Source organism: Homo sapiens, chromosome 1, assembly GCF_000001405.40.
Source record: "Homo sapiens chromosome 1, GRCh38.p14 Primary Assembly".
Classification (NCBI taxonomy): Eukaryota; Metazoa; Chordata; class Mammalia; order Primates; family Hominidae; genus Homo; species Homo sapiens.
In genome coordinates this window covers 34,969,340-34,996,886 of record NC_000001.11, presented here as the reverse complement: position 1 = coordinate 34,996,886, position 27,547 = coordinate 34,969,340, and the positions used below count along the sequence as shown (strand labels likewise).

Here is a 27,547-nt window from a genome sequence, read left to right as displayed (position 1 = left end):
GTTATTGTGTGAATTAGAAAAAAATAGCTCTACATGGGCAGGGTCTGAAATGTACCCTTTTTGAATTTCACACCTATTTATGTGGCCTGGCAAGTAGAGTTGCTGTGCAGGCATACACAGTGGCCTTGTTCAGGCTGTAGTTAAAACTGAACAAGGTATATATCCATAACAATGGAATATTACACAGTTGTTAAAAAAGAATGTGGCAGCTCAGTATATACAGACATAGAGCAGTCTCAAATATCATAAGTGAAAAAAGACACAAAATTGTGTAACATGGTGCCATTTGTGCTACACACACACACACATACACACACACACTTGTATATATGTATAGACTATCCCTGGAAGACAACTAATAAATGGGTAATAGTGGTTGCCTCTAAGGATAATTGAATGACTAGGGGAGAATTTTAAAAGGGAAAATTATTTTTTCATTGTGTATTACGTGAATCTTTGAATTTTTTGGCACATCTGTTAAAGAAACATTCATAGAATTTTTTTTTCAAAAGATAAAGGAAAGTGGTAATGAATATGAATAGAGAGTTCACAGAAGAGGGACTACAAATAATGCTTACATGTGAAAAATATCTAACTACACTAAAGTAAAATAATTTTTCACTCATTGAGAAATAACAAAATGGTAATACTCTATTGACTAGGATACTGGGAAAGGCCCACATCTATTGATAATGGTCACATAATTTGATATAATGTCTATCAGTACCATCAGAATTAAAATTATATATTTGGGACCCACCAACAACACTTCTAAGACTTTATTCTGTAGATAAACTAGCACATGTAGAATTAATTTATGTCTAAATATACTCATCATAGCATTGTTTATAATAGTAAAATATTTATAACATCCTAGATATGTTCATCAGGGATTCTTCAGATTACTTATGGTACATTTAATAATGGAATACTATACAAGCTGTTATTAGGCAGCTTTATACAATGTTATGTAAATGGACCTCCAAGATAGTTTGCTAAGTGACAAGAGCAAGGTTCTGAATCTTGGTAATAATAGGCTACACTTTGTAGTCAGAAGCAACTTTGTTTAATTACATACACCATCTCTAGAAGGATATATAGTAGTGCCACTTATCTGTGGCTTGAAAATATTAAATGGAAAATTCCGGAAATAAACAATTCGTAAGTTTTAAATTGTGTGCCATTCTGAGTAGCACGATGAAATCTCATGCCATTCTGCCTGGGATGTAAATCATCTCTGTCTAGCATATCCACACTGTGTGTACTACCCATCACTAGTCAGTAGCCATCTCAGTTATCAGGTCACAAGAAGAAGGATGAGTACAGCACATTAAGATATTTTGAGAGAGAGTACCTTCACATAATTTTTATTATAGTATATTGTTATAATTGTTCTATTTAGTAGTTACTGTTAACCTCTTATGCCTAATTTATAAATAAAACTTTATCATAGGTATATATGTATAGAAAAAACATTGTGTGTGTGTGTGTATATATATATAGAACCCTATATACATAGAGGCAACATATATACATATACAACGTATATACATATATTGTATATGTGTATACAATCCTGTAGACATATTTCAGGCAACACAGTGGTTGCCTGAAACCATGAATCATACCAAACCCTATATACATATATACATATGTATATATATAGAGAGAGAGCACTTAGCACTTACCACTACCTGGAATTATATATATATATACACACATACATATGTGTGTGTGTATGTGTGTGTGTGTATATATGTATATGTATACATATATACTTACGTATATACATACATATATACGTATGTAAGTATATATATTACATATATATACGTATGTAAGTATATATATTACATATATATACGTATGTAAGTATATATGTATACATATATACATATAGATATGTATATATCCATATTATGATATATTATGGATATATGTATACATATATATATATATGTCTATATATACACACATATATACATGTGTGTATAGGCTTCGGTATGATCCATGGTTTCAGGCAACCACTGGGGGTCTTGGAACATATTCCCGGCAGATAAGGGGGAACAACTGTATAAGAAACTGGGAACAGTGGTTGTGTTCAAGGTTGAGTCTGGGTGGACGGCAGTCATTCATGTGTATATTACTTTAATTGCAAAAACCACAATTATTTTTGTACCAACGCAATACTTCTGTACATTTTGAATTTTGCACTGAGTTCATGTATTACTTTTGTTTAAATTAAATTTAAATATAACCTCCAATGGCTTCCCATCACATTTAAAATACAATCCTAATTTTGTTTTTGACTGAGACCTTCCAGATCCTATACAATTTAGTTTCTGCCTACCTCTCCAAATGTATCATTCTCCCCTTGCTTACTGTCTTTCAGCCTTGTTCTTGTTGATGTTCCTAAAGCATGCCAAGCTTTCTCCCACTTCAGGGTTTTTGCACCTATAGTCTGCCTGCCTGGACTCTTCAGACCTTAGACCTTTGCATGGCTTACTCTTTTGAATAATTCAAAAGGTCTCTGCTCAGATGTTTACTTCAGAATTGCCCCTCCTCCATGCCATCACTCTCCATTCCTGTACGCTGCTTTATTTTCTTCATCGCACTTATCACTACCTAGAATTATATATTATTTGTTTTACTTGTTTATTTTTTGTGTCTTCCTCTAGAATGTAAGGCTCATATGAGCAGAACTTTGTCTTGTTTTCTGCGGTATCTCCACGGCTTAGAACAGTGCCTGGCTTGTAGTAAACATTCAGGAAATAAATATTGAGTGAATACACATGTTTTAAGTACATTCCTCCACTCTGTTGTTTGCCCTATAACTTTGTTTTATAAAGACCTTTGTTTACAGAAGTTTTTTTTTTTTTTGGATTAAAAAACTTTACTTTTTGGCCGGGCACGGTGGCTTACGCCTGTAGTCCCAGCACTTTGGGAGGCCAAGGTGGGTGGATCACGAGGTCAGGAGATTGAGACCATCCTGGCTAACACGGTGAAATCCCATCTCTACTAAAAATGCAAAAAAAATTAGCCGGGCGTGGTGGCGGGTGCTTGTAGTCCCAGCTACTCAGGAGGCTGAGGCAGGAGAATGGCATGAATCCAGGAGGCAGAGGTTGCAGTGAGCTGAGATCATGCCACTGCATTCCAGCCTGGGTGACAGAGCGAGACTCCGTCTCAAAAAAAAAAAAATTAATTTACTTTTTAAGAGCTTTATTATGATAGGCAGAATAGTAGCCCCCCAAAGATGTCCATGTCCTTGTCCACAGAATCTGTGAATATGTTACATTACATGGCAAAGGTGAATTAAGGTAGCAAGTGGCATTAGGGTTCCTAATCAGCTAACCTTAAAATAGGGAGATTATCCTGGATCATCTGAGCAGTTTTAAATTTTGAGGTAGTCAAATGTATCAGTCTTTTCTACTTTGATTTACTCTTTTGTGTTTTATTTAAGAATACTTTGTGATCCCAGCTGGGAGTGGTGGCTCACGCCTGTAATCCCAGCACTTTGGGAGGCCGAGGTGGGCGGATCACGAGGTCAGGAGTTTGAGACCAGCCTGGCCAACATGGTGAAACACCATCTCTACTAAAAATATAAAAAATTAGCCAGGCGTGGTGGCGCACGCCTGTGGTCCCAGCTACTCAGGAGGCTGAGGCACAAGAACTGCTTGAACCTGGGAGGCGAAGGTTGCAGTGAGCTGAGATTGTGTCACTGTACTCCAGCCTGAGTGACAGAGTGAGACTCCGTCTCAAAAAAAAAAAAAAGAAAAAAGAAAAGAATACTTTGTGATCTGTTTATTTGAAAGTTCTCTAGTGACTTTAGTTCTTTTTTTTTCCCTGAGATCTTTAATTGATGTGGAATATATTTTTGTGTATGGTCTGAGGTTGGATCTAATTTTTCTGAGTAGCCAGTTGTCCTAATCAGCAAGATTAACAATTGTTTTCATTGTTTTGATCATACTTATTTTAAAAATATATATTATATGTATAATTTTTATATTTATAGTTTATAAATATATTTTTATATTTATAGTTTATAAGTATATTTTTATATTTATAGTTTATAAGTATATTTTTATATTTATAGTTTATAAGTATATTTTTATATTTATAGTTTATAAGTATATTTTTATATTTATAGTTTATAAGTATATTTTTATTTTTATAGTTTATAAGTATATTTTTATTTTTATATTTACAAATATATTTTTATATTTATAGTTTATAAATATATTTTTATATTTATAGTTTATAAATATATTTTTATATTTATATTTATAAATGTTTTTTAAAATCAGTAAATTAAACTAATACTGATTGGGAGAAGTAGGAATCTGTGTGTATTTTCCAAGGTGACTTTTTTATTGCAACCACTCTTTCAGAGGAATTATATTTCTCTTGATGTATATGAACTTTCAATTGATAGCAATTATAGTCAGTGATAAGGTACTAAAAAAAATCTTTCTTTGGTTTCTGAATTTGCTTTTAACTAGGAAAGTACACAGGAAGATGCTATGAAATTTCCATCTTCCCAATCTTCCCAGCCTTCCAGGCTTTTAAAGAACAAAGGCATATCATGCAAACCCGTCACACAGACCAAGGCCACTTCTTGCAAACCACATACACAGCACAAAGAATGTCAGACAGGTATGTATCCTTGTGCGTTCCCATGTACAAAGCTTGTTTTCTGGCTTGTTTGTTTTTGTTTTTTAAGAAAGGAAAAGAAAATAATTGACAGAGTCTTAAATGTGAAAACATTCCTTTTCTTGGATCACATGCTTTGAATACTTAATTTATTGCTTTCATAATTATTAACACTAATAACCAGCTATCATAACAAGCTATTATAATTACTAACATACAGTTTTAGTTAAAAGCATTAGTGATTTAACCTGTTTTTTTTTTTAAATACTGCGAATTCAGTTGTCAGTTGCTAACAGTACAATTAATTTATCTGAGGTATTGGTGACGATGAAAATTGTTTGAGCTTTACTTGAAAAAGTTGTGAAGTATTACTTTTAATCCCACTACCCTTAGATTTTCAATTGCTTTAATAGTCTACTGTGCCTAAAGCACTGGGTTTTTTTTTGTTTGTTTGTTTGTTTTTTTTGAGATGGAGTTTCACTCTTGTTGCCCAGGCTGGAGTGCAATAGCGTGATCTTGGCTCCCTATAACCTCTGCCTCCTGGGTTCAAGCGATTCTCCTGTCTCAGCCTCCTGAGCAGCTGGGATTACAGGTGCCTGCCACCATGCCCGGCTAATTTTTGTATTTTTAGTAGAGACGGGGTTTCATCACTTTGACCAGGCTGGTTTTGAACTCCTGACCTCAGGTGATCTGCCTGCCTCGGCCTCCCAAAGTGCTGGGATTACAGGCATGAGCCACCGCCCCTGGCCTGATTTTTGTTTTTAATAATAATTTTACTTCATAGAATACACTATATTTAAAAGCTTAGTCTGTCAACAAGTAGTAAGTTTTTATGTAGGGTACCTTTATTTTGGTAGAAGTCAAGCAGAATCCTGTTTTCCTTCCTCAGGAAATTTATTTTATATTCCTATTAAAACAATATATTATTTGTACCTGAATTTATATTATATACACGTTCACACATGGAGAGTACTAAAGGATCTGTGGGCATCTATATGTGTGTATGTGTGTGTGTATGTTTGTGTGTGTGTGTGTGCTTATGTTTTGAGTTCTAGATTAAATATTGAATTGTTGGTCAGACGTGGTGGCTCATGCCTATAATCCCAGCACTTTGGCAAGCCAACATGGGCGGATCACCTGAGGTCAGGAGTTTGAGACCAGCCTGACCAACATGGTGAAACCCCATCTCTACTAAAAATACAAAATTAGCTGGGCATGGTGGCACAGGACTGTAATCCCAGCCACTCAGGAGGCTGAGGAAGGAGAATCGCTTGAACCTGGGAGGTAGAGGTTGCGGTGAGCTGAGATCGCGCCATTGTGCTCCAACCTGGGCAACAAGAGTGAAACTCCGTCTCTTTTAAAAGAATAAATCTCGAATGTTTTCTAACAATCGAAATTACTTTTTCATTTGACATTGCATTGGAAACATTATTCCACAACAATATAAATTTAAATATACATTGAGATTATTTTTTTCCAATTTTTATTTTATTATGTTTATTTTATTTTATTCGGGGGTACATGTGCAGATTTGTTACCTGGGTATGAGATTCTTAACATAGATTTCAGTGTATATAATATAACCAACTCCGTTAAGATTGGAAATTTAGATATTTGTATTATAAGCAATGTTGGGTTAAGCTATGTTAATGGATCTTTGTCCACTTGCCTAATTATGTCCTTAGGATAAATCCTAATCAGTGGAAGTGTTGATTCAAAGACTATCATCTTTTTTTTTGTTTGTTTTTGTTTTTGAGACAGAGTCTATCTCTGTCACCCAGGCTAGAGTGTAGTGGCGCGATCTCGGCTCACTGCAACCTCCACCTGCCAGGTTCAAGCGATTCTCCTACCTCAGCCTCCTGAGTAGCTGGGATTACAGGCACCTGCCACCATGCCCAGCTAATTTTCTTTTGTATTTTTAGTAGAGACGGGATTTCACAGTGTTGGCAACGCTGGTCTCAAACTCGTGACCTCATGATGTGCCCGCCTCAGCCTCCCAAAGTGCTGGGATTACAAGCGTGAGCCACCGCGCCGGCCTATCATCTATTCTTAAGTATTTTGATACCTGTTGCCTAAATTGCCCTCCTGAAAAGTTACATCAATGTATGCTCCAACCAGCAGTGTTCAGGAGGATCCATTTCTCTACAACCTCACTGACACTGAGTATCAAAATTCAGAAAGGTTGAATATACAGTACAGTCAATACTAGTATACTCTTCATCCAGATTAATGAAATGTTAACTTTTTGCAATATTTATTTTCTTTTTTTTTCTGGATTGTTTGAAAGTAAAACATTATTTTTCTGTCTCTTTTTCTTCCTTTTCTTTCTTTTTTTTGAGATGGAGTTTCACTCTTGTCTCCCAGGCCGGAGTGCAATGACATGATCTCGGCACATTGCAACCTCCGCCTCCCGGGTTCAAGCGATTCTCCTGCCTCAGCCTCTCAAGTAGCTGAGATTATAGGCATGTACCACCATGCCTGGCTAATTTTGTGTTTTTAGTAGAGACGGGGTTTCACCACGTTGGCCTGGCTGGTCTCGAACTCCTGACCTCAGGTGATCTGCCCGCCTTGGCCTCCCAAAGTGCTGGGATTACAGGTGTGAGCCCCATGCCTGGCCTTTTTTTTCTTTTTCTTTAAAAAAATTTTTTGACACCAGTGTCACTCACCAATAAAAAATTTATTCTTTTTGTTTTTTTTTGAGACGTAGTCTCAAGAGTGCAGTGGTGTGATCATGGCTCTCTGCAGGCTCAACCTCCTGGGCTCAGGCAATCCTCTTGCTTTAGCTACCCAAGTAGCTGGGACTATAGGTGTGTGCCATTGCATCCAGCCAATTTTTTTTCTTCTTCTTTTTTTTTTTTTAATGTAGAGATGGAGTTTCGCCATGTTGCCCGGGCTGGTCTCTAACTCCAGGGCTCAAGTGACCCACCCACCTTGGTGTCCCAAAGCACTGGGATTATAGGTGTGAGCCACCCTGCTCAGCCAAAAAGTTTATTGTTAATTTGATGTGTATCATGGTCTTCAGCCCTAATTTCAATAACCTATTGGGTGCTTGGGATTACTTGTACATGTACCACATCCTACAGTTTTATTATACCTAGTGATCAAGCTTTGGGCAAAGGAGAAATTCAGTTTTCAGTAGCATCATTGGAAGTATTATGACTTGTGCTTAAACTTTTACCAGTGCATTCTTTTGATAAATAGAAATAGTAACAAAATATGAATTTTAAATATGTGGGGAGATACATAAAGAACATTGCTTATTTGTTCTTGAAAATAACAGTGATTCAAATATTTCATTCAGATTTACCTATGCCTAATGAAAAAAATGATGCAGAACTTGATTCTCCACCTTCAAAGAAAAAAAGATTAGGTTTTTTCCAGACTTATGATACAGAATATTTAAAAGTTGGTTTTATTATCTGTCCTGGATCAAAAGAAAGTTCACCAAGGCCACAGTGTGTCATTTGTGGAGAGATCTTATCCAGTGAAAACATGAAGCCAGCAAATCTTTCTCATCATTTGAAGACAAAACATTCAGAATTAGAAAACAAACCAGTAGATTTTTTTGAACAAAAATCTTTAGAAATGGAATGTCAAAATAGTTCTTTAAAAAAGTGTTTACTAGTTGAAAAGTCACTTGTGAAAGCTTCTTATTTAATTGCTTTCCAAACTGCTGCAAGCAAGAAGCCATTCTCCATTGCTGAAGAATTAATTAAACCATATTTAGTAGAAATGTGTTCAGAAGTTTTGGGTTCAAGTGCTGGAGACAAAATGAAAACTATTCCACTTTCTAATGTTACAATTCAACACAGGATTGATGAACTATCTGCAGACATTGAAGACCAGCTGATTCAAAAGGTCAGAGAGTCAAAGTGGTTTGCCCTTCAGATAGATGAGTCATCAGAAATCTCAAATATCACACTTCTTTTGTGCTATATTCGTTTCATTGATTATGATTGTCGTGATGTAAAAGAAGAATTATTATTTTGCATTGAAATGCCTACTCAAATAACTGGCTTTGAAATATTTGAACTAATAAATAAATATATTGATAGTAAATCTCTGAATTGGAAACATTGTGTTGGTCTCTGTACCGATGGGGCTGCAAGCATGACTGGCAGGTATTCTGGTTTAAAAGCAAAAATTCAAGAAGTTGCCATGAATACAGCGGCATTTACACATTGTTTTATTCACCGTGAACGTTTAGTGGCAGAAAAGTTGTCTCCATGTTTACATAAAATTCTTTTGCAGTCAGCACAAATTTTAAGTTTTATAAAGAGCAATGCATTAAATTCACGTATGTTAACAATTTTGTGTGAAGAGATGGGATCTGAGCATGTGAGTTTACCGCTTCATGCTGAAGTACGTTGGATATCAAGAGGGAGAATGTTAAAAAGATTATTTGAATTACGACATGAGATTGAAATATTTTTAAGTCAAAAGCATTCAGATTTGGCCAAGTATTTTCATGATGAGGAATGGGTTGGAAAGCTGGCCTACTTATCAGATATATTTTCACTTATAAATGAATTAAATTTAAGTCTCCAAGGAACTTTGACTACTTTCTTCAATTTGTGTAATAAAATTGATGTATTTAAGAGAAAGTTAAAAATGTGGTTGAAGCGCACACAAGAGAATGATTATGACATGTTCCCTTCATTTTCTGAATTCTCAAATTCATCAGGCTTAAATATGACAGACATCACAAGGATTATTTTTGAGCACCTGGAAGGACTTTCTCAAGTGTTCAGTGACTGTTTTCCACCAGAACAAGACTTGCGTTCAGGAAATTTGTGGATAATTCACCCTTTTATGAATCACCAAAATAATAATCTCACCGACTTCGAAGAAGAAAAGCTAACAGAGCTATCTTCAGATTTAGGATTACAAGCACTATTTAAATCAGTGTCTGTAACTCAGTTTTGGATAAATGCAAAGACAAGTTACCCAGAACTCCATGAAAGGGCAATGAAATTTTTATTACCCTTTTCAACTGTTTATTTATGTGATGCTGCCTTTTCAGCTTTGACTGAGTCAAAACAAAAAAATCTGTTGGGTTCTGGCCCTGCCCTAAGACTTGCAGTCACATCTTTAATTCCAAGGATAGAAAAATTAGTGAAGGAGAAAGAGTAGCAATATGCACATTGCTTAACAGTGAAGTCAATAATCCTGTGTTAAGTTTTGTATAAGTATCCTAAAAGATAATTTCCTAATGTGGATTTGTGTTTTCAGTGATTAAATGTTTTAATAATTTTTCCCTTTTTGTTGAGGAATTTAATAATTATGATTGTTATAAATAATTATGTATAATTATAATCTAGGGTAGAAAATTTAGTTATTTCATTAAATTTGGACTAGTGACAAAGACTGCAGGTAATGAGAAGCCCAGTTTATAATGTAACAGCACAACCTGGATGTTGAAACAGCTTGGCCTTTAGAAGCAAGTGGAACATTTCAGTCTTCTAGCCAACCAGCTACTTACCCCTGCAAGGTTGTGAGTAGGTGGAAAAGATAGATCTTTTTTTTGAGATGGAGTTTTGCTCTTGTTGCCCAGGCTGGAGTGCAATGGCGTGATCTTGGCTCACTGGAACCTCTGCCTCCTAGGTTCAAACAATTCTCCTGCCTCAGCCTTCCAAGTAGCTGGGGTTACAGGCATGTGCCACCATGCCCGTCTATTGTATTTTTTTTAGTAGAGACGGGGTTTCACCATATTGGTCAGGCTGGTCTCTATCTCCTGACCTCAAGTGATCCACCTGCCTCGGCCTCCCAAAGTGCTGGGATTACAAGTGTGAGCCAACGTGCCCAGCTGGAAAAAGATAGATCTAAGCAGCTTGGGTAACTATAAATGGAAGCAGCAGGGGGATTTGAGACCCCTGCTTGGGGCCTTTCTGGCCCAATATACCAGGGCTTAGCAAACTTTTTAAATAAAGAGCCAGATAGTAAATATTTTCAGCTTTGCAGGCCATACTGTCACAACTACTCAATTCTGCAGTTGCAGTGCAAAAGCAGCCATAGACAATATGCAGATAAGTGTGGCTGTTTTTAAATAAAACTTATTCATGAACACTGAAATATGAATTTCATATAATTTTCCTATGTCACACAAGCTTCTTTAAAAAATGTTTTTATCATAAAAAATGTAAACAAACATTATTAGCTTGGGGGAAGGGGAGAAGCATGGAAAAAAATCAGACATCTGGCCAAATTTGGCCCATGGTTTGCCCATCCCAGCTTTAGACAGATTTCCAGGTAAGAGCAAATGGGCCAGGAGTGGACTGTAGGGCTTGGTTCAGTGAAAGCCTCTCTATCCATGCAAGTATCTGAATTTTCAAACACCTTTCACATTTCATTGTCAGCCGAGATAAATTAGAGGGAAAAGATATCTCAGGCAAAGAGACTTATTTAATAATTAATGGTTATTGATTTATTACAATTTTATAAATTAATTTACTAATTTACAAATAACTTTCTGAGCTCTTACATGTGCAGGCACTGTGCTAGGCCTGTTACAAACTCTGGAGAACTGAGTTATCCCCATATACAGATGCAGATACTGAGGCCCTTTGGGGTGGGTGACAGCTCAGATCCCACAGCTAGTGTGGCACAGGCAGGAACGAAGCCCGGGGTCTTTTGATGGTAGCTGAACCGCACCCAGACACCCACCCGTGTCTGCCAGCACTCCGTATTGGCTGGGAAACACTCCCTGAATCCAAAGGTGCCTGTTTAGTCAGTTACCAGCCAGTGGTCCTCAAGTGTCCCCACCTGTAAGATGGGGGCGCCCTGCCCCAGTACTGCAGCCTCGCGACCCCCTGGAGGGTGGGGGACGGTAGCTCAGGCGAGAGTCTTCCGGCTGCCCCGGGGAGGGAGGAAATGAGCCGGCGGCAGGGGCGGGTTTTCGGCGGGGCCAACCCACGGTGGGGGGAGCGCGGCCATGGCGCTCCTGCTTTCGGTGCTGCGTGTACTGCTGGGCGGCTTCTTCGCGCTCGTGGGGTTGGCCAAGCTCTCGGAGGAGATCTCGGCTCCAGTTTCGGAGCGGATGGTGAGCGGCGCGGGCGGGCGGCAGGGGATCGGGCCCGCGGCGGCGTGTGCTCCGCCCTGCCGCTCCTCGCCCCCGGCCCGGCAGGCCGCCTTCGGGCTTCCGAGGCTCAGCTGGAGCTGGGGGAAAGCGCCTGGCTTTCGACTGAGGCGCAGGTCCTGCCTGGGGAGTTCCTCGAGTTCTCTGGATCTTCCCTAGACGGAAGGGGACAGAACCTCCCCTTCCTGCAGAATATTGGTGGCCCCAGGCAAATCTAGAGCCTTAGGAGGTCCCTCCCACCCCCCCGGACCCTGGGGGAGGATGATGCGGTGGGAAAATGAGCTCACTTCCCGCTCTCTTCCCTCTTTTCGCCGTTTGCTTCAGTTTTTGGGAGGTTCGTGGGGTTGGGGTGTAGTAATCCTGGCTTTGCAGGGAAGGAAGCCCGCCCTGAAGGGCAAGTATATCTGCTAAAGATTGCACATCTAGTCAGGAAGCAGGACACAAGCTAGACACTCCTAACTCGGAACCCAGAGAGGGAAGCCTCTCTCGGAAGCCTGAGAGGGATGCCCTGAAGTCGTCTTTCAGCCTTCTGTCTAGTTCCAGACTCATGGGAAAGCTTTCATATCCTGTTCACCAATCTCCCCAGTCCCTCAAAAGAGCCAGACTTGTAGACCTCTGCTGGCATCTCTCTCCAAGGCCTGGATAAATCCCCAGAGACAGACAGCTTAGAGCTGCTTCCCAGCAGAGCTGAGGAGGGGAGGTAGAGCTGAGGAGTGGGAACAGGAAAAAGTATCCCCGAAAGTAAGGATGAAGTTGTCATTTGGCTCAGGGGAGGGCCTGCCTTGACAAGAAGAGTCACTTTGAGCCCACCTAACTCTGCCTCACCTCCAAATATTCCCTGTACAGCAGCCTTAAGAGAAACCAGGCCAGACACAAAGAAGGAAACTGTGGAATTCCCCAGGCCTTGGCACTAGGGAGCCAAGCCCAGCCCCCTCCTCCTGGGATTTGGGGCTGGGTTGTAATCTCTTGAGAGGTCTAGTGAGAAGATCAATCTCTGTACCACTTGGAGCATGGAGCCTGTTTCCTGATTCCAAAGCTCAGCGCCACAGGGCAGCCCTCTCCTCTTCAGGCTGACCTCAGCCCTGGACCTGACCTAGAGTAGTAGTTCTTTTCTCTGGGAAGTTGAGGGCACAGGCATAGATATGCCATGGAGCATCTGGGGAGCTCATCCTTGTTGAACAATGAGGCTAACAGGCATTCCTTGCCACCCCTAGAATGCCCTGTTCGTGCAGTTTGCTGAGGTGTTCCCGCTGAAGGTATTTGGCTACCAGCCAGATCCCCTGAACTACCAAATAGCTGTGGGCTTTCTGGAACTGCTGGCTGGGTTGCTGCTGGTCATGGGCCCACCGATGCTGCAAGAGATCAGTAACTTGTTCTTGATTCTGCTCATGATGGGTAAGGGGGCCAACTGGCCTGAGAAAATGGGGTCTTCTGGGGGAGGATTATGGAAAGACCTGGCTGTTCCCCCTTACTGTTGCCACCCTTCTTTTTTCTCTGGGATCAAGAGCACTTTCTGCTCTACCACAGTTTCCATGGTCTTCAAACTAGCACAGGTATTTTTTTTTTTTTTTTTTTTTTTTTTTGAGATGGAGTCTCGCTCTTTCGCCCAGGCTGGACTGCAGTGGCACTATCTCTGCTCACTGCAACCTCCGCCTCCTGGGTTCACACCATTCTCCTGCCTCAGCCTCCCGAGTAGCTGGGACTACAGGCGCCTGCCACAGCGCCCGACTGATTTTTTTGTATTTTTAGTAGAGACAGGGTTTCACCATGTTAGCCAGGATGGTCTCGATCTCCTGAACTCGTGATCTGCCCGCCTTGGCCTCCCAAAGTGCTAGGATTACAGGCTTGAGCCACTATGCCCGGCCTAGCACAGGTACTTTTTAAACTTAATGTGCTAGAACATTATCACATGTTAAGTGTACCTTCTACCTCCTCAATTCTAATGGCTGCATAGTATTGCCTTGTGAAGATATATTGCAAGCTCAGCGCCTCTGCTCCTTCCTCCACACATCCACTCCTAGGATGAGGGGATGGAGGAGCAGCTGCCATTTGATGCATGTGTCTGGCAGATTGGTGTAGAGAGCAGGGAAGCTGGAGAACCTTGAACAGGAAGGCAGAGAATTTCCCTAGGGAGTCCCCCTCAAGTAGCTCTGCCCACAGGAACTGCTGATGTACAAAGACAGCTGTTGCTTCAAAGGCCAGATATCTTCAGGCTCTTCTATATGCCCTGGCATCTGTTACCATTGCTGCCACTGCTACCAGGCTTGCTTCCATCTCTGGAGCTTCTCCCATTTTCAGATCTTTCCCATACCTCCAACCAACAGCCCCTGGGCTAGTCCTTCCCTCCATCTTAATCTTAGTAGATGTAGGATTAAGAAAGGAGAAGGGGCCAGACACGGTGGCTCATGCCTGTAATCCCAGCACTTTGGGAGGCCGAGGCGGGCGGATCACAAGGTCAGGAGTTCAAGACCAGCCTGACCAACATGATGAAACCCCGTCTCTACTAAAAATACAAACATTAGCCGGGCGTGGTGGTGCGCGCCTGTAATCCCAGCTACTCAGGAGGCTGAGGCAGGAGAATCGCTTGAAGCCAGTACCCAGAACCCAGTAGCCCAGCTACTCAGAAGGCTGGCAGGAGATCACGCCATTGCACTCCAGCCTGGGTGACAGAGCAAGCCTCTGCCTCAAAAAAAAAAAAAAAAAAGGAAAGGAGAAGGATCAGGGAGATTTTTTTTTCTAAAATCTATCCACTCTAGCCACTGCCCTATTTGGCTGGGTCATTCCCGTTTCTTTCTTGTCCTCTGAGAGGGGCAACTGTTGCCACTGCTGCTGTTGTTCAAGAGGCTTCTAATTTCCTGGTCCTGCTTTCTCCAGGAGGCTAGAGATGAATGCCGCTAGTTTTGGGAATGTGCGTTAGGAGTGGTGGGGGTGTTTAATGGGAGGGCTTGGGCTGGAGTGGGTCAGCCTAAACTAGAGAGCCCTGAGCTCCTGGATCTCCTGGGTTCTTCCAAGGAGCCTCAGGGACCTCACTTTCCATTCCAGGGGCTATCTTCACCTTGGCAGCTCTGAAAGAGTCACTAAGCACCTGTATCCCAGCCATTGTCTGCCTGGGGTTCCTGCTGCTGCTGAATGTCGGCCAGCTCTTAGCCCAGACTAAGAAGGTGGTCAGACCCACTAGGAAGAAGACTCTAAGTACATTCAAGGAATCCTGGAAGTAGAGCATCTCTGTCTCTTTATGCCATGCAGCTGTCACAGCAGGAACATGGTAGAACACAGAGTCTATCATCTTGTTACCAGTATAATATCCAGGGTCAGCCAGTGTTGAAAGAGACATTTTGTCTACCTGGCACTGCTTTCTCTTTTTAGCTTTACTACTCTTTTGTGAGGAGTACATGTTATGCATATTAACATTCCTCATGTCATATGAAAATACAAAATAAGCAGAAAAGAAATTTAAATCAACCAAAATTCTGATGCCCCAAATAACCACTTTTAATGCCTTGGTGTAAGTATACCTCTGAACTTTTTTCTGTGCCTTTAAACAGATATATATTTTTTTTAAATGAAAATAAAACCATATATCCTATTTTATTTCCTCCTTTTAAAACCTTATAAACTATAACACTGTTTCATGTCTCTTTTGCCTCATTGCTGTTAATGGCTGCATAGTATTCCATTGCAAGGATGTACTATAATGTATTTAATCCCCCATGAGGAACATTTGGGTTATTCTCAATTTTTTGCTCTCGTAAGCCTCACAGTAAATCACTTTTGCATACTTATTTTCTTCCCCTAGAAGTGAGGGTGCTGGTTCAAAACACATGCATGTTTTTAAGGTTTTTAATACATATTTAAAACGTACAGGTTCTGTATGCAGAGCTTAAGTACTTGCTTCTGCCTATGCCCTTTGAGACATATTAGAGATTCCCTCCCACTCCTTTTTTTCTCTGACATATTAGATGTGCAGAGCTAACAGGTAGGCATTGAGTCATTTGACAGGACCTGAAATCAAGCTCTGGTGGTGATCTGTGGCACCCAGTCCAGTGCTCCTTGACACCTACGTGGAGATGAGGGACAGCCAACTCCATGAAATGCTGAATGGTACAGCAGGGCCCAAAGCCTGGGAGGAATCCCAGAGGTCCTTGGGGGTAGGAAGGGTGCATATGTGTGACAGTTCTCAGGGGAAAAGTGGACAACACGTTAGGGCACCTGCTATTATGTCACCACCATCTTTATCTTAGGTTGGCAGGGCTGTGGGCTTTTGGGAAGTGATGTACCTCCCATGAGGGACTATAGTGAGAAACAGTTCACTTATTTATGCAAATATTCTAGCTATCAGCCTACAGATTGCTTTGAGGGTGGAAAAGAAGTCTCTATTACTCCATTTCATGTTCACTACAAAATGCTAATTCCCATTCTGACTAGTGTGAACCTCAGGCAAGGTGACACTCTCAGTTGGATTTTTTTCTTCTGAGTCTGAAAGCATAGTGGTGTAGTCTGCCTATAGTAAGGATAGATAGATTACACTAAATAAATGGTAGTGTCAAAACAATAAGGAAACCTTTTCTCTCATGTAAGAGGTCCAGAGATAACCACTTCAGTTTCAATGTTGGTCAGTTTGCCTAATGATGGCATCAAGAATCAACATTCTTTAAACTTTCTGCTCTGCTGCTTTCAGTGTATTGGCTATTGCCCTCAGAATTGCGAAATAGCTGCAGCAGCTCCAGACAGTGCATTTGCTATAATATTGAAAGGTGAAAAGAGAGGAAGGGTGCCTTAGAAGACCCTAGATTTGGCTGGGCGCGGTGGCTCACGCCTGTAATCCCAGCACTTTGGGAGGCCGAGGCGGGTGGATCATGAGGTCAGGAGATCGAGACCATCCTGGCTAACAAGGTGAAACCCCGTCTCTACTAAAAATACAAAAAATTAGCCGGGCGCTGTGGCGGGCGCCTGTAGTCCCAGCTACTCGGGAGGCTGAGGCAGGAGAATGGCGTGAACCCGGGAAGCGGAGCTTGCAGTGAGCCGAGATTGCGCCACTGCAGTCCGCAGTCCGGCCTGGGCGACAGAGCGAGACTCCGTCTCAAAAAAAAAAAAAAAAAAAAAAAAAAAAAGAAGACCCTAGATTTTCGCATGGATCTCACTGGGCAGAGCTATGTCCCATTTCCATTCCTAGACTAATGACTGGCAGGAGAATGGAATTCCCATGATGGACTTAGACTAAGATTTACCCACACTGGTCAGCAAGGAAGAAGAGGGGGTAGACAATGGTTTCTGTCACTTACTAGCTTATTTGAAAACTATGGATAATGATAGTAACTATTTCATAGCCTGGCACATAGTAAATGTTCAGTAAATGCTAGTCATTATTAAATATTGATTTGTTTTACAGATGAGAAAATGCATTTGGAAAGCTTGAGTGCCTATATATCAGACCTGGAACTAGAACTAAGTCCTAATTGATTCCAGAACTCAAACTTTTCACTGCACCAGCTGCCAAAGCTGAAAATGGACAGGCATGGCACCCCAGCTCTCTTCAATCTGAGGGTAGATGGGATGACCTGTCTGGGGTGATGAAATCTGCTCTGCTTTCCCAGCATTTCCCCTCTGATTGGAATTTTTTTTTTTTTGAGATGGGGTTTCACCATGTTGGCCAGGCTGGTCTCGAACTTCTGACCTCAGGTGATCCACCTGCCTTGGCCTCCCAAAGTGCTGGGGTTACAGGCATTAGCCACTGTGCCCATCTTGCTTGAAAATTTTGAAGCCCCTGAAAGTAGAGCCTGGAGCCCCGAGGATCCTGGCCTTATTCTTTCTCCACCCCTTCCAGGATGCCACCGCCAGCCCGTCTCCTGCCAGGATGGACTTTGAGTAAAACCTCTCGCAGCTAGCATTAGATTGAGGGCTCCTGTTTACCAAGTCTGGGTCTGTAGGCTGATAAGCAGCTACTGGGCCCCCCAAGCTTGGCTGTAGGACTGCCCAGCAGCTGCAGGAAAGTCAGGGTGCTAGAGGAGTAGGCTGGGCAGCTGGTGTGTACGAGCAGTTGGGATTGACAGCAGCAGGAGGATCTTGAGCCCAAGCAGTGCCTCCTTAGCAGCCCAAGGAGAAGCCAGGCCTCAGGAAACGTGCCCCCCAAACTACAGCCTAAATCTAGGTCAGCTCAGCACGATGACGTTCAGCTGCCTGCCCTTCCTAATACATTTTTATCTCCCTCCCTGTGCTGAAGGCTTTCTTGTCCTCCGATGACACTCCCTTCCCTTGGGGCCCTACTGCAGCCCCAAAAACCCAGCTCATAGCTGCCACAGGTGGGCTCCAGCCCTTCCAGCTGTCGGACCCATTCTTCATGTCGTTTCTTGGGATTAGCTGGCGATAGGAGGGTCTGGGATGTGTGGGTGGGAGGGGATTCTCCCCTGTCTCAGATCCTTAAAGTCAGGACCCCAGAGAGAACTCCAGCAGCCATTATAGCAAGAGGCAAGAAAGGAACAGTCTGGTAGGATGGCAGGGGATGGGTCAGGGTGGGGCTACAGGCATGGAGAACAGAATAGAGGAAGGTGGGAAAGGAAATACAGTTACCCAGGGTCTCAGAAAGGATTGGAGCCTGAGATGCTCAAAGGCAAAAATGCAGATTTTGGAAGAACTGAGTTTTAGGACATCCTAGGAGTGTGTAAGTGTGTCACAAATAGTAACAGGACATTGGTTTGTGCACTTACTCCCTTGGGAAGAGGGTAGGAATATGCCCAGATGTTTTTGTGTTGTTTTGTGTGCCTGGGGTGTCTGTGTCTCTGACACACTGTGTGTGCCTGTGTGAGTGTACACATTTATCTATGTGCTGCCTAGAAGGGAAGGGAACTAACAGTAATGAAGTATCTCCCCAGTGTCAGCCACAGGGCTCAGTTTTACTTAGGTTTTCTCATAATCCTCCCAACAACCCTGTGAGGTAGGTATTTTCATCTCCATTTTACTGCAGCAAAGACAGGCTCAGTGAAGCTGAGTAATTTGCCCAAGGTCACATGGCAAATAGATGTGTGTTATCTAGAATCTGCCTGATTGCTGGGTCTGTGCACTTTTTGCTTTTCTGTCCAGAGGTTTGAGTCTGACCCAGGACCTCTTTGTGGTCAAAAAGTGAGGGGGGAGGAAACAGGATGAAAGGCTTGAGAGTGGCAAAAGCTTTTCAGCCCAGCCAAGGGTGCTCCAGGCAAGCGCTGGGGCACCTCTCTGGGAGAGGACCTTCACCAAGGCAAGTCTGAGGTCAGTGTGCATAGGCACTGCACCGCAAGCCCATTCCTCCATCCATGCTTCTCATCTGGGTGGCACAGGGATGGGGGCGGGGAGGGGGGGGCGGGTGTTGGGGCTTTTTCTGGAAAGGCCTCTTCTTTATATTTCAGCCTGTTTCTCCAGAACTCCCTGTTGGCTCAGTCCTACGTGGGTTTACTGCACAGGTCTGTGGCCCAACATGTATGAACCATACTCCATCTGTGAGGGGCATCTCTACCCTCTCAGTCACTAAGGTTGGAAATTTCCAAGTTATCTAGGACTCCTGCCTCTTCCTCGCTTCCCACAGTTTGTCACCAAAAACTCTGGAGTCCATACCCTCCTCTCAGCAGCTGCTGGCCAGGTTCGGTCTTCATTCCCTCTCACATGGACTCTGCCTCTAGTGTCCCCTCCCAGCAAGGGCTGAAGAAGAGGAGACTGGGGTGGGAGAAGGTGGAATGGGGGCTGCCTTTGTCGCTAGCCTCCGCAGTAACCTTTCTTCTGCCACTTCAAGGTCAGAGATGAACAGCAGTGTTGGGGACCTGGGTGTTGGCGGCTGCAGCCTCTGGGATGACCCTGCTCGCTTCATCGTGGTGCCCGCGGCCTATGCCTTGGCACTGGGCCTGGGGCTGCCAGCCAACGTGGCGGCCCTGGCAATGTTCATCCGCAGCGGCGGGCGCCTGGGCCAGGCCCTGCTTCTCTACCTGTTCAACCTGGCTCTGGTTGATGAGTTCTTCACGCTCACGCTGCAGCTGTGGCTCACCTACTACCTGGGCCTGGCCCGGAGGCCGCCTGCCACGCGGCCGGGGCCACCTACTACGTGTCCACCTATGCGGCGGTGGTCTTCGCCGCGCTCATCAGCGTGTGCCGCTGCGGCTTCGTACGCGGTCCCGGGCCCAGGGCGGCTGCCCGCCTGGCCCGGTGCCTACGGCGCCCCGCGCGCGCTGCCTGCGCCTTCGCCTGGCTGGCGGGCCTGGCCCCTCCCTGCCTGGAGCACCGCTGGGCAAGCTCGGGGCTGGCCTCCGCCACGGTGGCCTTCGCGGCCGCCTTCCTGCTGGTGCTCGCGGCCAACGTGAGCCTGGCGCGGGCGCTCAAGGCGCCCTCTGGCCCGGGCCCGGGCCCTGCAACCGCCGGCGCGCACCGGCGCGCGGCCAAGACCATGGTCCTGGGGTTCCTGCTGGTCTTCGCCCTCAGTCTGGCGCCCAACCACCTGCTGCTGGCGCCCTAGGTGGCTGGGGGGGAAGACAACGGAGACCGGTGTCGCGCCGCCTCCACGCTCGACATCCTGCACACCCTCAGCCTGGCGCTGCTGAGCCTCAACAGCTGCCTGGACCCACTCATCTGCTGCTTCTTCGTGCGCCTCTTCCACCAGGACTGCTGCTGGGCACTGAGCTGCCGCCTGGTGAAGGGGGCGCCCAGGGCGCATGGGGCCTCCTTGGCCTCCTCTTGGAGAGTCTCCTGGCCTCCCCTCCTGTCTCACCCCCCTGTCACCCTCCCAGTGGCATCCAGGGTGGAGAAAGCTCTTTGGAAAGACCTAGATTCTAATCCTGACGCAACCACATACTACCCCTGTAGCTGTGAACCTCCGGGCTCATCTGTACCAAGGACATAGAACATTCTTTGTAACCCGAATGTTCCCTGGATGTTGCCAGCTTTTGGATACAAATAATATACCACTGTGTTTTTTTTAAACCTCTTGGGATAAAACCCAAAGTCCTTATCATGGCCTACAAGGCCCTGTCTGATTTGGCTCCCCTTTCTCTCCCTAACCCACCACCCCTGCGTCTCCCTGCAGGCAGTCACCTTCTTAGGCCCGGGAAAATGCCGGTCTCCTACTCTTCATGGCCTTTGTACCTGACTTGGCCAGGAATGATCTCTGTTCCTCTCTTTCACTAAGTTAGTTCTTCTTCACCCTCACTTCCTCTAAAGTAACTCCTTATAGGGAAGCCTTTCTTGGCTGGCAACACACACACACACACACACACACACATACACACACGACTGAATCAGATCGGATTGCTCTTTGATAGCTCTTTTCATAATTGTAATCAAGCAATTAATTGGGTAATGCGTTGTTGTTGTTTTCTTTCTCTCTTGCCAGAATGTATTCATGTTGACCCATAAGACATTATCATTTTTATAAGTCCCCAAAAGTTGAATATTGGAAATTTTATTTCCACCCAATTCAACTTAATAAATTCTGTGTTTACCTTGCTCACTGCTGTATCTCCTGTGGTTGGTACTGTGCCTTGCATATAATAAGAGCTCAGTGTATCAGATGCGTGAGTGAAAACTGAATATCATTAATTTAAATTGCTTAAGTACTCACTCAGACATTCCAGTCTCTGATAGCTTTTCCTCAAGTGTTTCTGAGATTCTCCAAGCTTGTCTTACCCACCCCCGACCATGCATTCCTAGCCCAGTCCTGATGACTGTCTCCTTCTGCTGTTGCTGGATACTTGCAGTTCTGCCATCACCTCCACTGTACCAAGACTTGGTGGGAAGTAAGCTGGAGATCCAGGCTGCTGGAGATCCAATGCCTGCTGCCTCCAGACTCTTTCATGAGCGCCAATCTCTGCCAGGGGCTCCGGCTACCAGTGCTTCCCCTTCTGTGCTTTGACAACTCTGCAGTCTGCTTCTAATGGGAAAGGGCACCACTCTCCTCAGCCACATTATTGGGGCCCCACAGCAAGACTGCTTGGGTCTCAAGGAAATCGAGCTTAATGAATGAGAGCAAACCCTCTTCATTTGGCCATGTCAGCTTGTCAGGAAGGGTCCATCAATCAGCCACCATGTCTTACCTGCCTTTAGGTCCTATTGCTGAGTTTGACTTCTAAGGATACATTTGGTAAATTCCTTTTTTTCTTGATGAATTACCTCTTATTGGTCCCTAATTCCTTCTTTAACTTTTTTCTTTTCCATTTTAAAAGCAATATAGGTTCATAAAAGTAAATTCAAAGCAGTAGAGAAAAATGTAAGATAGGAAGTACTAGCCTGGGCAACGTGGCGAAACCCTGTCTCTACAAAAAATACAAAAATTAGCCGGGCGTGGTCCTAGCTACTCGGGAGACTGAAGTGGAAGGCTTGCTTGAGCCCAGGAGGTCAAGGCTGCAGTGAGCCGTGATGGCGCCACTGCACTTCAGCCTTGGAGACAGGGGAGACCCTATGTCAAAAAAGAAATAAAAAGAAAGTAAAAGTCCCCTAGTGATAGCCACTATTCACAGCTTCTCATTTGTGTAGCTTTCCAGATATTTTCGATTCCACTGTAAGTCCACATGTCATCAGTTTTCTTTAAAAACCTACAAATGGGATAGTATTGCAAGGTTCTTCTGCAATTTACTTTTCTCATTGTTTCTTATATATTGTTCTATATTAGCACATATAGATAGATTCATCTCGTTTTTTCAATAGAAGCAGAGTATTCGTTTTACTCAATTGGTCCCCTACTGATGGGCATTTGTTGCCATTATTTTACTGTTATAAACAATGCTTCAGTGAATGCTCTTGTTAACAAATGTTTGCATACTTGTAAATCTGTAGAATAAATTCCTGGCAACGAAACTGCTGTCAAAGAATATCTGTGTGCCAATGTTTAATGACAGCAAATTGCCTTCAAGAACGCTGCACCAGGCCAGGCACGGTGGCTCATGCCTGTAATCCCAGCACTTTGGGAGGCCGAGGTGGGTAGATTACGAGGTCAGGAGTTCAAGACCAGCCTGGCCAAGATGGTGAAACCTCATCTCTACTAAAAGTACAAAAAAATTACCCGGGCACGGTGGTAGGCACCTGTAATCCCAGCTACTCGGGAGGCTGGGGTCGCTTGAACCCAGGAGGCAGAGGTTGCAGTGAGCCAAGATCGTGTCACTGCACTCTAACCCGGGCGACAGAGCAAGACTCCGTCTCAAAATAAACAAACAAACAACAACAATAGCAAAAAAAACACTGCACCAAATTATACACATCAAAAGCATGTAATCGTCCCTCACCAGCACTGGGCATTATCACCTGCCCCTTCTTGAGTCTGGACTTCTGTTGGTGCCCTAGTTCCTCTAGATGTATCTGAATATATCTGCATTCTAATTGTGAGCATGGTCAATTTGTTTCTTTTTCCTAGAAGACTTCTCAGTTTCCTCCATAGCTATTTGAAACCTGACTGGGTCAAACTAAGATATCATACCAGCCAAATCTTAGCTGTCTTGCTTGTTGAAGGGATTAAATGAAAACCCAAATGCAAACTGGTAGGTCCTTAATAATTAATTCCCTCCCCTTCATTGGGAATTAGGCTGGCTCATGCCATGCAGCACTGACCAGCATCTCAGCCCAAGGCCAGGAGGCAGCCTGGGCCCACATCATGAATTCATTTGCTGTGGTGGAATGAGTCGCTCAGCCCCAGGGGCCATGCAAGGTTGGGTCTTTGAGAAATAACCTGGCATCCACACTAGAGCCAGCTGAATCTCCTGAGGCGGAATTTGGTTCTACCCAAATAAAAAATAATTCCTTATGGCCGCATCCCATCCCTGCAGTCTTGTACTATCATGCTTTTGATGTGACTTTTCCCCTAGTAGTCAGTTTCCTTTGGGAAATGTCTAACTTAGTCTTTTGTGTCTTACCTGGGGAAAAAGAGCCTGAGAGTCGATTGCTTCTGGCAGGTCAGACACGATGGAAAGAAGCCTCTGTCTAGAGTGACAGTGTGTGGGGGTCCCCTCCTCCCTCTGCGTTGACTCAGGGAAGGAGGAACCTTGGGTGAGGACCTAAAGGTGAAGAACCCGAGGAATGAGAGAGAACAGACTGCCTTGCACTGGCAGTCCTTTTGGACTCTCAGTCTTTATACTTATTTCAAACCATCACGAATTTGACCTAAGATCCTTCCTCAATCTAGCAAGGAAGAGAATGGAGTCCAGGTTGTTCAGGTTGGTTGGAGAAGGGAGCTCCCTTCCTCTAGGAAAGAAAAGAAAGGAGCTTGACTAGATAGATGCTGGACACCCACTTTCTCCAAGGATTCAGGGAAAACTCATCTGCAGCTGTTCTCAGTAGCTACCAATTAGTCTGCCCCAGACTCCCCCACAGTCTTGCAGGGCCAGAAATACCCTATCCATGCTCCTACCCACCCAGGCCACACCTTGTGGCTGTGAAGTGCAGACATGGTCCAGGGAAGCTGCTCCTGGCACACAAAGAACAAAATTCCCTTTCTCTACTGGACTCTACTCTTTCCCTCAGCTCAGTCACAGTCCAGGTCTCTGAACCCAGCCCAACCCAGTTCTTGACCTTGGCCAGGACTGGCCCAGGTCCTTGGCTGTGCACACACCCACCTGGGCCCTTCCACCAGCCATGCATCCTCTGTGACCCTGCCTGCTCCTGCTGGGACCTTCACTTCCAGCCCCCGTGCCACCTGCTCCCCAGGCCTCTGTAGGGAAGCCTGCCAGAGTCAAGCTTGATCTCTGTCTTGGGGCCTCAAGGCATTCTCTGCAGCTGATTCTTTGCCTTGACATCTGTCTCCCTCTCCTCTGGCCGTAGGAGGAGGATAGTGTTTGCCCCTCTGGGTCCTGCAGATCTCCCTTGGGCTGCAGCTGTCCTTTGCTGACCTTGAAACCACCTCCTTGAACTATATTCCAGCTTCAGGGACAGCAGCCTCCTTTCTTGATCAACCATTCCTAGGCCTCTCTTATGCCTGCCCTTTCTTGCCTTTGGTATGGCACGTGCCAATCACCTAGCCCTGACAGGGAACTATTGTCATTAAATCAGGCTTCCTCACCCCTTATTCTCAGTGCTCACCAGCCTAGTTCTGAAATGTATTTGTGGTTGGGATGCTGGACTCATGTTGACCCGTAGCATCTGTGGCAAGAGTATGAATGGTGGCCCACATACTCTATGTCTATATATTTAAAAATTATAAGTCAAGCTAACACATTGCTGAATAAAATGCATTTCATCCTTCTGCATTGACAAATCTACCTTTGTGATGACAAAATAGAAAAATATGTGGGAAGCTGTGGTTTTCAGGACTGAAAGTAAGCAAATTATCAAAGACGACTGCCTTCAATTTTACATATTGTGTTTAAACTTTGTGTTTGGGTCATATATGATACATGATTATCACAGAAAATATAAAATATTTGAATTTCATCATATAAATTACTATCATCCGTAATGTGATTTTTTTTACTATTTCTTCAAGCCATATTTATATTCATACAGTATTTCTTATTTTTTTCAAAATCTTCAATGATGGTCTATTAATTTAAAAAACAGAAATTCACTGTTGTATAATGACAGTTTGTTGTTAAACTTGTTCAAATTTCTCTTCAATCAATTAATACCTTAATCTGTAACAGTCAAAAAATAGTCTCTGTAGAAATTAGTTTTGAGACTATTTGACTGTGAACTCAGTCACTGTCTTGCAAACATTTTCCTTTCATTGTCCTAATTGCCTTATATTTCATTGAAATTTCACTTTGGTTGTATATTTCATATGCAGTTTTCTTCCAAACTAGAAAATCCATGTTCTGATACCTACAGAAATATTTTTTAATTTTAAAAGTAAAGTAGTTAAACTTAGTTGTCTAAGTCTGTTTGTTTTGCTATAAAGGAATATCTGAGACTGAGTAATTTATAAAGAAAAAAGGCTTATTTGGGTTATGATTCTGCTGCCTAGAAGGTTCAAGATAGGGCATCTGGTGAAAGCCTCAGTCTGCTTCCACTCATGGCGGCAGGTGAAGGGGAGCTGGCTGTGCAGATATCCCATGGTGAGAGGAGAAGCAAGAGAGAGAAGCAGGGAGGTGCCAGGCTCATTGTAACGAGCAGTTGCAGGAGCTAACAGAGTGAGAACTCACTCGTAATTGCGAGGTCAGCACCAAGCCTTTCATGAGGGATTTGCCCCCGTGATCCAGATACCTTCCATTAGGCCCCACCTCCAACACTGGGGATCAAATTTCAACAGGAGGCTTAGGGGACAAACATCCAAATGACAGCATTAGTCAATTGTTTACATAAGCTTTTACTAACATTTTAAATAGCAAACAATAGTGCAAATCCACTAACAATAATACATCTCTAAAATTAATATGTTTTTCCATCAAAGACCATAATTTGTTATTTGAGAATGTTGGTTGTCTCATTTAACTTTTTCAGTACATCTCATATCTTAAATACATTCAATTTAATTTATTTAGCAGCATTTAGTTGGGATTGCCATAATGTGTCTGAGAGTAGTTCCGAGGTCAGATTTGACGTGTTTCATCAATATGTTCCATCTTTGGGTATATCCAGAAAATATTGTGTATAATCTGGATTACACCCAAAAATGCCATTGGTATTAGCACAGTTGAAACTATGTCTTCATGGCCAAAGAATACTTCTAGAATTTTGGCCGGAATTTTGCCCGGCATACCTTTCTTTGTTCATCACATTAGCATCATGACTGTAGGCTTGTCATTGGCAATCCTTTAAATCATTGCTGACAATTGAAAGCTGGGGTTTTTTTTTTCAGTTCCTCATTCAAATCATACTTGTACTTTGAGATTCTGATTTGTATAGGAGGTAGCACCCTAACACTGCACTCTTGTTTGCAATAACGAGAAAAAGCCAAATACATGACAAAAATCATATGTTTAAGATACTGGAGAGCTGTGGAAACAACAATGACTAGAATTGGAATTCAGACAGGGAGTATCCCTTCTGAGTTGAGCTGATGGTCATGGGATGTTTTCTTCCTGGGAACATTTGCTTGTTCTGTGTATGAACTGAGTATTGGGCTTAATTCGTACAGAGGGCTTTTACAATTGCAAGACTTTTGGTAGTTAAGTGGGGCTTTTGCGAAAAGTTGGGGTCTCAAAAAACACAGCTTGCTGGGCATGGTGGTTCATGCCTGTAATTCCAGCACTTTGAGAGGCCGAGGCAGGCAGATCAATTGATGTCAGGAGTTCAAGACCAGCCTGGGCAACATGGCGAAACCCCATCTCTACTAAAAATACAAAAATTAGCCAGACGTGGTGGCACATGCCTGTAATCCCAGCTACTTGGGAGGCTGAGGCAGGAGAATTGCTTGAACCTGGGAGGCGGAGGTTGCAGTGAGCCGAGATCGCACCATTGTACTCCAGCCTGGGAGACGAGAGCGAAACTCCATCTCAAACAACAACAACAACAACAACAGCAACAACAACAATAACAACAACAACACAGCTGGTTGTAGCCGTATGACATTTTCCAGGTCCTGAGATTGAGTGTGGAAGGCTGGGAAGCTAGGTTGAGGGCTTCTAAAAGCTGGGGTGATATCCCCACTAATCTTGAAATGCTTAGAACACAAAGTCCCACTAGAGGAATGAGGCCTGATACAAAAACATGATGGTATCCCCTTCAAAAAATTAGCCAGTTTATAGCTCCGAGGGTGAAGAGGAGTTTGGGAAAAAGGCTAAAGTGCTAAGCTCAGAACCTTCCAAGGGAATCTCCTGTGTCTAACAGGGCTGAGGAGACAGAGAGCCACAAGACTTTTAATCAAAAGCCTAGGAAGCCCTCACATGAAAACAGGAATGCATTGCAGGTGGACTGCATCTATCTATCTATCTATCTATCTATCTATCT

At 43.6% G+C, this 27,547-nt stretch overlaps 2 protein-coding genes and 1 pseudogene across 3 annotated transcripts in view, besides 2 other annotated features; all 3 read left to right on the top strand.

Annotated features, from left to right (window-relative positions):
* ZMYM6 (zinc finger MYM-type containing 6) overlaps positions 1–10,722 on the top strand; it is a 45,781-nt gene extending 35,059 nt beyond the window's left edge. Inside the window, exons 15-16 of the mRNA NM_007167.4 lie at positions 4,500–4,653; positions 7,952–10,722. Of these exons, the coding sequence (NP_009098.3) occupies positions 4,500–4,653; positions 7,952–9,783 (1,986 nt within the window). The 3' untranslated portion in view covers positions 9,784–10,722. The remainder of the gene's footprint in view (positions 1–4,499; positions 4,654–7,951) is intronic.
* TMEM35B (transmembrane protein 35B) lies at positions 11,540–15,507 on the top strand. Its single transcript, NM_001195156.2, has 3 exons — positions 11,540–11,689; positions 12,940–13,120; positions 14,768–15,507. The coding sequence occupies exons 1-3, from the start codon at positions 11,582–11,584 to the stop codon at positions 14,941–14,943; spliced, it is 465 nt and encodes a 154-aa protein (NP_001182085.1). The 5' UTR covers positions 11,540–11,581; the 3' UTR covers positions 14,944–15,507.
* Positions 11,562–11,851: a silencer, noted in NCBI's record as "silent region_634". NCBI's record gives its function as "represses an Ori minimal core promoter by ATAC-STARR-seq in GM12878 lymphoblastoid cells {active_cell/tissue: GM12878}" and the evidence as "EXISTENCE:reporter gene assay evidence [ECO:0000049][PMID:35858748]".
* Positions 11,912–11,981: a silencer, noted in NCBI's record as "silent region_633". NCBI's record gives its function as "represses an Ori minimal core promoter by ATAC-STARR-seq in GM12878 lymphoblastoid cells {active_cell/tissue: GM12878}" and the evidence as "EXISTENCE:reporter gene assay evidence [ECO:0000049][PMID:35858748]".
* A 2,673-nt stretch (positions 15,508–18,180) lies between the features above and the next one.
* On the top strand, positions 18,181–21,188 carry GPR199P (G protein-coupled receptor 199, pseudogene; annotated as a pseudogene). The gene is made up of 3 exons (NR_037869.1): positions 18,181–18,209; positions 18,803–18,956; positions 19,485–21,188. The product of NR_037869.1 is annotated as a G protein-coupled receptor 199, pseudogene (transcript).
* Positions 21,189–27,547: the final 6,359 nt, after the last annotated feature.

What these genes read in the sequence shown, in the direction of transcription:
- TMEM35B (NM_001195156.2), top strand. Translation starts at nt 11,582, where the DNA reads ATGGCGCTCCTGCTTTCGGTGCTGCGTGTACTGCTGGGCGGCTTCTTC. An exon ending in CTCCAGTTTCGGAGCGGATG is followed by an intron (nt 11,690 to 12,939) that starts GTGAGCGGCGCG and finishes TGCCACCCCTAG; the next exon opens with AATGCCCTGTTCGTGCAGTT. An exon ending in CTTGATTCTGCTCATGATGG is followed by an intron (nt 13,121 to 14,767) that starts GTAAGGGGGCCA and finishes TTTCCATTCCAG; the next exon opens with GGGCTATCTTCACCTTGGCA.